This window comes from Homo sapiens, chromosome 15 (genome assembly GCF_000001405.40).
Source record: "Homo sapiens chromosome 15, GRCh38.p14 Primary Assembly".
NCBI classification, from domain to species: domain Eukaryota; kingdom Metazoa; phylum Chordata; class Mammalia; order Primates; family Hominidae; genus Homo; species Homo sapiens.
In genome coordinates this window covers 83,793,122-83,806,224 of record NC_000015.10, presented here as the reverse complement: position 1 = coordinate 83,806,224, position 13,103 = coordinate 83,793,122, and the positions used below count along the sequence as shown (strand labels likewise).

The 13,103-nt window shown below is 36.5% G+C and overlaps 1 protein-coding gene across 12 annotated transcripts in view; it reads right to left on the bottom strand.

Annotated features, from left to right (window-relative positions):
• The window catches only part of ADAMTSL3 (ADAMTS like 3), a 385,720-nt gene that overhangs the window by 233,618 nt on the left and 138,999 nt on the right, over nt 1-13,103 (bottom strand). For all 12 annotated transcript variants that reach the window (XM_011521823.3, XM_017022434.2, XM_011521822.3 and 9 more), the window contains exon 5: nt 1,530-1,575. In XM_011521823.3, the coding sequence (XP_011520125.1) occupies nt 1,530-1,575 (46 nt within the window). The remainder of the gene's footprint in view (nt 1-1,529; nt 1,576-13,103) is intronic.

The window sequence follows — 13,103 nt, the reverse complement described above, 5'->3', positions numbered from 1 at the left end:
ATGTGGACTTGGATGCAAGAGTCACCACCATTTCACCAGGCCTAGGGTCTAAATAGCTAGGGTTGTGGTGCTGCAGTCATCTGTGGGATGGAAAGATCAGTGGTTACTGTCCCCTAGAGTACAGCACACTCTAGCAGTGGCTCCAGTTTCAAGGTGGCACTGTGCCATAACAGCCTGGGTCATGGGAGGTGGGCAGTGCACAATGTGAGCTCCTACTGTGAAGCAATGCAGCTGTGGGAACTCCAGGCAGCTCCCCCAAACTGGGCTCAGGGCCTGTGAGGACTGCCGCGTTCTCCTGTAGCAAGGACTACATGTGTCTGCAGTGGTAATAGGGGCTACTAGGGGCTCCCTGCTTACCTTACAGGGGAGATGGAGTAGTAGAGGCAGAGTACTTCGCCCTCCTCCCTATGCTGCCATCTTGAGTTACTGTGTGCCACAGGCATTCTGCTATTCCCTTGCTATATTCCAGTGCTCTCCCTCAGACACTCTAGTCTAATTGTAGTTGTTTATTTGTTGTTTTGGTCTTTTTGTGTATGAAGAGGCAAGTGTCAAGTACCTCTAGTTAGCCTCTTACTGATAACCAGGAAATGTTTTGAATGGAAAATAGAATGGATTCCTTCTGGTGTTTATTTTTTATTTTCAATTTATTTATTTATTTTTTTTTTTTTGAGACAGAGTCTCACTCTGTTGCCCAGGCTGGAGTGCAGTGGCGCGATCTTGGCTCACTGCAAGCTTCACCTCCTGGGTTCAAGCAATTCTCCTTCCTCAGCCTCTAAAGTAGCTGGGACTACAGGCACACATCACCAAGCCCAGCTAAGTTTGTATTTTTAGTAGAGATGGGATTTCACCACATTGGCCAGGTTGGTCTCGAACTTTTAACCTAAAGTGATCTGCCTGCCTTGGCCTCCCAAAGTGCTAGGATTACAGGCATGAGCCAATGCGCCTGGCCTTATTTTCAAATTTCTAAAGCAAGATATTTGAATTTTTATTTTTAGTGTTGACTGATGTAAAATAAGGGTAGGGTTTTGTATATTTCTGTGTGATTTGCTGATGGGTCACCTATAGCATTCCATGACACTGAGGTAGAAATAACAACAGACCAGTTCAAGTAAGTCTACTCTTCCTATGTGACCTTCAAAAAATAATTTTACCTCGGTCAGCCTCAGTCCTCTCACTCGCAAAAGAGAAATAGCTGCACCTCACCTGCCCAGAGACAGTGTGAAGGTCAGGTAAGATAATGAACATAAAAGCATTCTGAACTTTGAAGGAGCTTGCAGATATTATATTGTTTCTATGACTTCAGAAATTATTAAATACTTACCAAATTAGATCATGAATGTGATATGGCCTTAAAAGGTAGTATAAATGGAAGATATTTGATATACAAAATCTGTTGTCAATTAAAGAAATACTTAAGTTTTCCACAAAGGGTATTAAGAGACCATCAGTTTTAGAGTACACATTGGAATATTGTAACTTAAAACAAGCACATATTGTATTGGATAAAATAATTTTATTTTATGACTTACATGATTGCTGCATGTCTTGTACCGAATGTTCTGCCCTTCACAATTCCTAAAGGAAAAAAGAAAGAAGAAAGAAGAAATAATGATTTCATAGAAGAGGCAAGCATTAAAAAAAAAAAAAAAAAGCAAATACAAGGCATTGGTTCCCTGTAAAACTTTTACTAGTGCACATTACCCCAAAGATTCAAAGTTTAATTCTAAGAAACTAATTTTCAAGGATCGGGAGCCAAAAAGTCTTGTGGAAGTGTCACATTAAATAAAGAATGAATTCTTTAGTTAATAGTAGTACTCACATGCAATTCTTACCCAAGGGTCCATATAACCACTACAATTAATGTACAATATGTGTGTGTCTCATGTGTGCATATGTGTATTCTTTTCTATAATGAAAAGGGAAATGCTACATGTAGAAGAATTTGTGTAGCACGTCTCCACTAGGACATTTCTCTTCCCTTACTGAAGCAACTCAAGTTAGCAGGGCACTCACTGTCTTCCTTTAATTAGTACAACAGTCTTTGTTAGAAATTTGCTTGAAGTAATGCTTCCTTTTTTTTTTGAGACAGAGTCTCACTCTGTCGCCCAGGCTGGAGTGCAATGGCTTGATCTCGGCTCACTGCAATCTCCATCTCCCAGGTTCAAGCAATTCTCCAGCCTCAGCCTCCAGAGTAGCTAGGATTGCAGGCGCACACCCCCGTGCCTGGCTAATTTTTGTATTTTTATTAGAGACGGGGTTACACCATGTTGGCTAGGCTGGTTTCACACTCCTGGCCTCAAGCAGTCCACCTGCCCCAGCCTCCCAAAGTGCTGGGATTACAGGCGTGAGCTACTGCAGCCGGTCTATTTTGTTTCAACCACTGACCTTACCAAATGGGATTCTACCAAGTCATGTTGGAACAGTATTTTTGGGATGCTAATACTGGTAAGTTTGAGAATTTTCCAGGGATGACCACCACATAACCTATCTTCCTCTACAGCCACTAGCTCTGCGACCCTGCCACTCATTTTCCAGGCAGAGTTTTCCTTTGGGAGACTGGAATTCCATCCAACGGGTACTCTCCTCAGTCCAGTGCTTGTCTGTCTATATTTTACATAAACTCCTTAAAAATATCTGATCTCTTCATGGCACTTTTCCTAATTTTTCAATGGAGTTACATATTTTTTCCCTTTATGTTTTCCTGGTGAATTCAATGGCAAATTTGGAGCCAGGAAAGCTAAACACAGGCTTAAATAATCATTTTGAATTAAAAGTCAACAGATACTATTTCAATTGTTATTAAAATATTTATTTCTATGGGAATAAAAATAATTTTAAAGTGGATAGGAGGTCATTTTTTTGCCAGTATGATTTAAATATGAGCCTATATGAAATGACTGATAGAGTCAGCAATGTAAAACTCATTGCATATGCTTTCTGATGCTTCCATTTTTCTTGATTACAAAAGGAGTAAGTGGAAACCAGTAATGTGCCAAGAAGTATAGAGGTAGTCACTCAAAATCCTATCACCAATAACTTTATTCTTTTGTCATTTAATCCTCCACTGTTTCTGCCATTTATAGGATTGAAAATCATACTGTTAATTCATCCTAATCTAATATGATAAGCATTTTCTCATTTCAATGATAATTCTTTGGAAAAATTATTTTAATGATTACATCATAGTCCATTATACAAGCATTATTTTGGTAGCTTTAAATTTAAAATTTTAAAAATTGTGACAAAATACACATAACATAAAATTTACCATCCTAACCACTTTTTAGTGTGTGGTTCAGTGTTTAAGTATGTTCACATTGCTATGCCGATATTACCTTTCCTGATTATGTTGCTTCTCCTTTTCCCTACTTAAAAACTGACATATATTAAAATTCTATTTGGGATGTATACAATTTTAAGAGTTTTGACAAACCCATACAATTGTGCAACCACTACCACAACCAATATTTGGAACAGTTCCATCACCCCAAAAATGCTCTCAGGTTGCCCCTGTATAGTCAACCTCTTCCCCCACCCTCAGCTCCTGGCAACCACTGGTTGGTTTTGTCCCTACAATTTGCCATTTCCAAAATGTTATATAAATGGAATCCCAGCATATGTAGCTTTTTGAGACTGACTCTTTTTAGCATAATATACTTGAAAATCATTCTTGTGGTTGCAGGTATCTATAGTTTGCACCTTTTTAATTGCCGGCTGGCATTCTATTGCACATATGTACAACTGTTTGTTTATTCATTCACCAGCTAGATATTTGTTTTTAGTTTTGGGTAAGTATGAAAAAATGCTATAAACATTCACATGCAGGTTTTATGGTAACAAAGTTTTTCATTTCTCTTGGGTAAATACCTAGAAGTGGGATTTCTGAGTCCATTATTTTTATATAATATAAAAATTATTCGGTAAACATCTTTAGGTTTTCATTTTTGTCCATACTTACAATACATATTTAGAAGTATTTTAAAACAAATCCCAGTCCTTTCATAATATGAATTTTTCACGTATGAGTTTTTAACTCTTGGCTGGTTAAGTATTATTTAATTAGTTGGATGCATGGCTGGCTTATGATTAAATCTTTGCATTTCATACAGGAAAGGCAATGCTGCATGATATGATGTTACTTCTTTTTCCTCAAAGCTGTAAACACACTTCATTGACCCTTGATATTGAGACTTGCAGAGGAGAAATCTGATTATTCCTTTGCTTGTGTGTTTTATGTTTCTTCCTGAAAGCTTATAGTACTTTTGTTTTGTTGTGTTAGTACTTGATATAAAAGTTAAGTTATAATCAGGATGTATCCAGTCGTGTGTTTCATCAGTCTTTACTGAAAATGGTGAGCCTTTTTGAATGGAATACTCAAGGTCTTTATTTACAATGCTGCTGATTATTTTCAGATTATGATTTTGATTACTGCTCTTGTGCCATAAATGCCTATAATTCTGAGGCTGGAGCTCCCTCTCTCTGCATCTATTAGTTCTTCATTGGTCCATCTATGATTTCCTCATACATACATATATATATATATATATATATATATATATATATATATATATATTTATATTTATATATTTATATATATAAAATTTCATTGACCTTTTCTTGTGCTTATGAGAAATATTCTACAGATATTCCTCCACACTACAGATTTTAGTTTTCTGTAGTGGTTATTTTGCATTTTATTGTGTCCAGTACATTTTTAATATTAACTTCCACTCTTTTTCCTTTGCAGTTTTTCTCAAACTCTCCCTCCTCCATTTCCATTTCATGCCATCTTCACCTTAAACTTTCTGTTCCAACTGCAACTTGTACCCCTTGTCTCCTCACAGCTTGTGTTTTTGAGGTGGTACAATCCCTAATTAGATTTAGAAGGCTTTGGGAGAAGGACATTTTGGAGTGAAAAGAACAGCATTATAGCTGCCTCCAAAAGCGTTACCTAATTTGTAGTTAAATCGTATTTAGGTAGATGCGCTTTCTTGATTTGTGGTTCAGAACATCTTCCCAGATTATCACAATGGGTTGGCCATGTCTTAATATTTTGTAACACTGCATATTTCTGTTTTTAAAATTTTGTTATAGGTATTTGATTCTTAAATTTATTAAAATCTTGCTAAGAGTACGTCAAATTTTAAACATTCAAGCAGCACCAAACTGGGAGGATGGTAGAAAAAAATGTACTGGTGTGGAGAAGTCTTTCTCTTGGTCAAGGGGAAATGACTCCATTCTACTGGGAAACAACAGCTATGCCTATTGAAAAGGTCATTCACTTACATGGCCTACTTCATTTTGCTTTTTACGTATGAACAAAAGAAGAAAATAAATAATAGGAAAAGTGAAGAAGTAATTGAAATTACTCTCTTATTTTGGAAAAGCCCCAGTTGAGGGAAGTTGCTAACAGATTAGGGAAGTGATAACCAAAAAGCTTTTTGTACCATGCTGACTTGCAGCTGTAAAAAGCTTTTGATGCTAATTTCAAGGGAACAAGCAAATTAGAGAGTCACAGGTTAAAAAAAATATTTGAATTGATGGCAATACTGGAATACAAAACTTGTTGAAACTTAATAAAAATGGCATTTTCTTTAAACATTTTCAGAAATAATTTTTCAGATGCATTTTTAGTAGTTGCTTAATTTTAGCTATTTATATTAAAAACTGTTCTTGTAAAAAGAAACTTAAAACTAAAAGGTAAGAAAAGAATATATCAAAGGTATCTTATGGCTGTGTCTCAGGCCTTCAGTGTAGACCATGTGTAGAGCAATGGTCTACACTCCATTGCCACCTGCTGTGTCCTAATTGTAAGCTGAGTTTCCAGGAGTCACTGATTTGCATCTTGAGTGTTGAGCCTGAAAATATAAACCTAAAAAGTATGTACAACTCTCCTACAAATCCCACTACAATTGCAGCATGGTGATATGAAAAAGAGAGCATTTTATGTCACGAATTTTCAAAACATAATGCACCATTTTGGACTCATTCTTCCTTCAACAATGTCTTATGGTGAACCTACTATGTACCAGGATATGGATATAAAGATTCAGGGAGATTACTTCTCAGTTTCCTTTATAAGTCAGTAGCAACGTTTTTATTTTTAAACCCAACCACCTGGCGACCATTTTTAACATTCTATTTTACTTTGTCCAACCTAATACACAGTAAATCCAGTGACTGGCCTCTATTGATGTGGCTTGCTTTGGTTACAATTTAGTATGAAAATGAAAGACTACTTTATGAAACAGACATAAAATGAAATGCAAGTTATTTTAAAGTTAAGGACATTGGAATCCTAATTCCCCAAGCAGGAACCTGCCAGCTTATTCTGGAATAATTCCTTTGGGCCAAAGCAACTAAGCTGCAGAAATATTACTTACAAGTTTTTAATTTCAGTGTAATTAGTATATGCAAGAGCTAATGGTTATCAGGAGTATTTGAAAATTCAAGAACATCATTTCACAATTATGTATTTTCTATCCATTACAACATTCGTAACACCCTGTATTGAAGAGTTTTGAAGTCATAAATTTATGAATATATAAAAAACATATGTTGATTCCACATGAGGATATATTAAAAACATTAATAAAATTTCCCTGGAGTTCATAGCACTATAATTTATTATATTCATTTGATGATATATTGACTCAAATAATGGTGTCATAAAGCCTGAGAAGTATGTGTTTTGAAGAATAAAAATATATTAATTTTTAAAATAGTAGTTAACTTAAACCTGTGTTTCCCATGATTGGCACTTAACTAGAATATCAAGTTACACACTTCTGCAAGAGAAAGGGACATTCTGGCTGGCATATGGTTTGCAGTGCAAAAGAACTGACTATTTAAAGTAATCAAATTCTGAAATAACTTTATCCACAAGAAATATATGAGGAAAATAGCTACATTTGCTATTTTCCTAAATCATGAATGCCCTAAATCATGAATTTGAAGGAGTACACTGATAAAAAGGGAAGGCACTGAAATGCTTTCTAAAGCTTTGGGATGGCTTTCAGTTTGGTTTTATATGTAATCACCTCCATATTCCTCTTCCAAGAAAAACTGACCACAAGCATTCAATATTTATGAAGACTTAATAAGTCTCTAAGGCAGTTCAAGGATAAAGAGACCTGATAAGCATTCCAAGGGAAGTAGGTTTCCTTCTTAAAAATCTCAGAGTACTTCCAAAATGACAGTGAAAGTTCTTAATATGGGAATGGGTGAGGAATGATTAAGGTTTACAGCTGCCTAAAATGTGGGGAGCAGGAATGAGTGAATTATTAAAGAACCTGCTACCATGCTTCCGAAATAATCTTATTAAAGAACCTGCTACCATGCTTTTGAATTAATCTAATTTCATTATAGCCAAAAAGTGGTGTTATTGTCCTTTTTTTTTGTTTTTTTTTTTTTTTTTTGAGACGGAGTCCCACTCTGTCGCTCAGGCTGGAGTGCAATGGCGCGATCTCAGCTCCCTGCAACCTCTGCCTCCCAGTTTCAAGCGATTCCCCTGCCTCAGCCTCCTGAGTAGCTGGGATTACAGGCATGCACTGACCACGCCTGGCTAATTTTTGTATTTTTAGTAGAGACGGGGTTTCACCATGTTGGTCAGGCTGGTCTTGAACTCCTGACCTCGTGATCCGCCCGCCTCGGCCTCCCAAAGTGCTGGGATTACAGGCGTGAGCCACCACACCCAGCCTGTCCCTGTTTCTTAGACATGGAAAAAGTGGGTGTGCCACAGGCCTGACCCCATGCCAGGAACCAAGCTGGGAGAGCACATGCAATGACATGCACTTGTCTTACTTCTGAAACACCACAGAAACTATTATTCTCTCAATTTATGCACATATATGCACAAATACATATATACACATTTGATTTAGGATGTTTTCTACCCTCAGATACCTGTTTAAATTAGATGAGCTCAGGGAGCAGGCAAATTTGGAGATTCTCAGGCCTACAAGCAAATTTCAGAATGTAGGCTAAGGTTTGTGTAGAAATAGACTAAAGAATGCTATATTAGTCCTAAGAAATGAAAAAGTTAAGCAAATACTACATCAGAAATAGGAGAGGTAACTGAGTACATGGAATCATATTGTGCCAAAAACCTTCTGCAGTTTTTTTTTCTCTGAAAACTGTTTTTGAGAATATCCACGTTAACAGATGTAACTCTAATTCATTCACTTTTAGAGATCTGTAGGAATCCCATTTATAAATATACCAAAATTTATTGATCAATTCTCTTTATTCTTCATTGATCAATTTTCCTAAATGTTGATGAAAATTGTTCCAAATCTTCATTTGGCAGTTGGTTTCAAATTTTAAACTGCACCCACAGTTCTGCAATGAGCAATCTTAAACCACCATGTTAGGCATATTTACGCATTTCTCTGGGATATATACCTGAGCGGGGTTGTTCTCTTCTGGGTGTTTACAGCATCACTATTACCAGATATTGACAAATTGCTCTCTAACATGGACATACCAGTTTTCACCCTCATTACCAGTGCAGGAAGGTTCTTATTTTTATACATCTAGGTCAATATTTGACATTTTAAAACTTTTTTTTCCCAATATGAAGAATGTGAAATATGTCATTTCATATTCTTTTTTTCTTTTTGGGGTAGACAGAGTTTTGCTCTCTCACATAGGCTGGAGTGCAGTGGTGCAATCTTGGCTCACTGCAACCTCCGCCTCCTGGGCTCAAGCGATTCTTGTGTCTCAGCCTTCCGAGTAGCTGGGATTACAGGCATGTGCTACCACACCAGGCTAATTTTTGTATTTTTAGAAATGGGGTTTCGTCTTGCTGGTCTCAAACTCCTGACCGCAAGTGATCCGCGCATCGTGGCCTCCCAAAGTGCTGGGATTACAGGTGTAAGCCACCACACCCAGCCTCATTTCATATGCTTTTTCAGTTTTTTGTCAGTGAAATTATAATTCTCATTTGTTTTTTACTATGCAGATTCACCTTCTATGAATTTCCTGTTCATATTCTTTGCCCACTTTTCTACTAGCCTCTTTTTGCTTCTATTTTATTGGTAAGTAAAAGTTACTTAATATTTCAAATACTAGTCCTTTATTGGTTATATTCATTGTCAAGATTTTATTCCACTCTATGGCTTTTCTTTAGGTTTATATTTTTGTGATACAGATGTGTATTTTTTATTGTGCTTGAATTTATCCGTATTTTCCTTTGTAACTCAAACTTTTTGTATCTTAGTTAGCGAATATTTCACTCTCTAGAAATCACAAAGATATTCTTCTATATTTCTTTCTAAATGTTTCCAGACATTGTTTTTTACAAGTAGAGATTAATGCACTTGGAATTTATTCTTTACATGAATTGATATGTTCTAATGTTTTCCTCTGACTATCGATAATCATATCTGAGCACCATGTATTGACTATCCCTCTTTCCTGCACTGATTTACAGGGCCACTTTCAATATATACCAAACTTCCACATACGCATATATCTGTTTCTGGGCTCTCAATTTTGCCACACTTGCTACTCCCGCCTATGCCACTAGTATAGTTAAAAGAAACATTTTAATTGTCCAGGCAAGTCCCCTATTTTGTTCTTTTTCAAAATTATTTTCATTTCTTTGCACTCCTATATGATACTTAGAATTGAAATTATGCTTATAGATTAACATAGGGGAAAATTGGTATGTTTATGATGTTGAGATTTCCTATATATGAACATATTATAGCTCTCCTTTTATTTAGGTAAGCATCTAAATCTTCCATAAAGGTCTTACACATTTTTTATTGAACTTATTACAACATACCATATATTTTACTAGTACTGCCTTTTGAAATTTTGCTTTCTATTTAGTTTTTGGTACTGTGTAAGAGCACAGTCATTTGTGCATTAATTTGCTTCCAGCAATCTTTACTGAATTATTTTATTAGTTTTATTATTTTATGTACAAGTACTCTTGGATTTTTCTATCTGCACAATTTAGTAGTCTCTGAATAATGAGAGTTATCCTTCTATTTCATTTTTTTTCTAGCCTTACTACACTGACTAGGACCTCAAATACAATAATGAATACAAGCAATGACAGTGGGCATTCTTATCTCACACCTAATGTTAAGGTGAATGTGGTAACATTTTTACTATCAAGATTATCTACTGTACATTGAGAGTATACCTTTATTCCTAGTTTGCTAATATTTTTCAATTGAGAGTAAGTATTCATTTTATTAACTGCTACTTTTGCATCAATATAGATAACTGTATGGCTTTTCTCTCTTATATCATCAATGTTGTGCCTGCTGGTGCTTACTCCTCGCAAGTATTTCCTTGTGTGTTACATATTTTAGGATTGCAAGTTTGTCATTAGCAGGGCTCTATCGACAGGAATCCTATGCAGCCGGTTGGTGGCCTGACTCTCAAATCTTTCATTGCTGCCATACCTTAAGGATATCACAGGCTACAAGATCAATTTTCATATTAATTTCCCACGTAAATGTTTCCACAATCATATAGGATATATGTATTCAATGTAATATATATAATATGTATAGGCCAATATACATGCACTTCCAAATTTTGAGAGAACAGGTCCACTGTTCCAACGTGGAATTTTTTTTTCATATGGAATTAAGACTAAGATACTTAAATTCCCTATGCTGGTGTGTGGACATTTTCCCCCTAGTCCTTCTGTTAAGTGTCTGGACCTCAAGGGTCTTGCCTTTATCTTAGGGTTGCAGTTCCCATGGTGTGAACTCGCATACACTCAAGACTTGATCTGTGATTATGAAGGAATTAAAACTCAACAGCCTGAGTTTTTGAGATGATCAAATCCCATCTCCATCACTAGGGCAGGCACAGAATCAGTTATGCACTTACTAGTCTGGCATTCAGTTTACTCTTTGCTTTTTGGCCCCATGGATTTCCCTTAATTTCTTGTAGGTTCAACTTTAGTTCTGTTGTTGTTGTTGTTGTTGTTGTTGCTGCTGCTGTTGTTGTTGTTGTTGTTGTTTTAAATGTGTGTCCTATTTTGCCTGGCATTTCTAGTTTTTTAAAATTAAATTAAATCTTCTATTTAAAATAAATGTAGATCGGCTGGGCACGGTGGTTCACACCTGTAATCCCAGCACTTTGGGAGGACAAGGCAGGTGGATCACTTGAGGTCAGGAGTTCGAGACCAGCCTGGCCAGCATGGTGACACGCTGTCTCCACTAAAAATACAAAAAATTAGCCGGGCATGGTGGCGTGCACCTGTAATCCCAGCTACTTGGGAGGCTGAGGTGGGAGAATTGCTTGAATACAGGAGGCAGAGGTTGCAGTGAGCCGAGATTGTGCCGCTGTACTCAAGCCTGGACAACGGAGTGAGACTCCATCTCAAATAATAATAATAATAATTGTAAATCACATGCATTTGTAGGAAAATAATAAAAAGAGACCCCATGGATCCCTCAAAGGTATCATCTTGCAAAACTCTGCTACAAGAATACAACTAGGAGACTGATATTAATACAGGTAATGTACAGAACATTTCTATCATCACAAGAATCCTGCAAGTTGCCTTTTATAGCTGCATCTCCTCCCCCCCACCCTATCCTCTTCCTTAACACCTAGCAACTACTGTTCTCCATTTCTATAATTTCTGTCATTTCAAGAATATTACATAAGTGAAATACAGTATGTAAGCTTTAGAGATTGGATTTTTATAACTTCATTGTAATTTTCTGGAGATTCATCCAGATTGTTGTGTTTATCAATGGTTCATTTCCATTTACGGCTGTGTAGCACTCCCTGGTATGGATGTAACACCATTTGTTTAATGATTCACCCACTAAAGGGCATTGGGATTGTTTCCACCTTTTGGCCACTGTGAGTAAAACTGGCATAAACATTCATGTACAGGTTTTATTGTGAACCTAAGTCTTCATTTATCTGAGAAAAATGCCCAGGAGTGCAATTGCTGAGTTGTATGGTAGTTGCATGTTTATTTTTTTAAAAGAAACTGCCTATTTTCCAGAATGGCTGTATCATTTTACATTCTCAGAACCAATGTATGAGTAACACTCTTCCTCTGCATCCTTGCCAGTATTTCTTGTTGTGAACCTTTTGAAAGCTATTCTGATAGGTAGGTAATGATATCTTATTGCAGTTTTAATTTGCATTTCCTTAATAGCCAGTAGTGTTGAACATACTTTTGTGTGCTTATTTGCCATCTATGTATTCTCTTGGGTAAAATATCCATTCGTGTCCTTTGTTCATTTTCTAATTAGAATGTTTGATTTTTAATTGTTGATATTTGAGAGTTCTTAATAGAGATACTAGTCCTTTGTTAGGTGATTTTCAAATATTTTCTCCCGTTGATCTCATTTGTTTATTCCTCTGCCAATACCACTGCTCTCATTACTGCAGCCATATAGTAAATCTTGATATTAAGTAAGCTGATTCCTCCCACTCTATTCTTTTAAAATATCTTTTAAAAATCAACAGATACATACCCATAATCCCAGCACTTTGGGAGGCTGAGGCAGGCAGATCACTTGAGGTCAGGAATTCAAGACTAGCCTCTCCAACATGGTGAAACCCCATCTCTACCAAAAGTACAAAAATTAGCCAGGCATAGTGGCGCATGCCTGTAATCCCAGCTACTCGGGAGGTAGAGGAAGGAGAATCGCTTGAACCTGGGAGGCGGAGGCTGCAGTGAGCAGAGATCGCACCACTGCACTCCAGCCTGGGCAACAAAGCGAGACTTCATCTCAAACAACAACAACAACAACAACAACAACAACAACACACCAACAGATAAAATTGTATGTATTTATCGTGTACAATATGTGATGTTTTCAAGTATCTATACACTGTGGAATGACTAAATCAAACTAACATATCCATTATCTCACAGTTATTTTTGTGGTGATAATACTTAACATCCGGTCTCAGCAATTTTCAATAATACAATATATTAACTACAATGACACTGTTGCACAATAGTTCTGTTAAACTTATTCCTCTTACCTAACTGAAATTTTGTATCCTTCCACCAACATGTCCTCAACTCCCCTCCTCAACCATCTTAACCCCTAGCAACTGCCTTTTTACTCTCTTTTTCTACGAGATCAACTTTTTTAGCG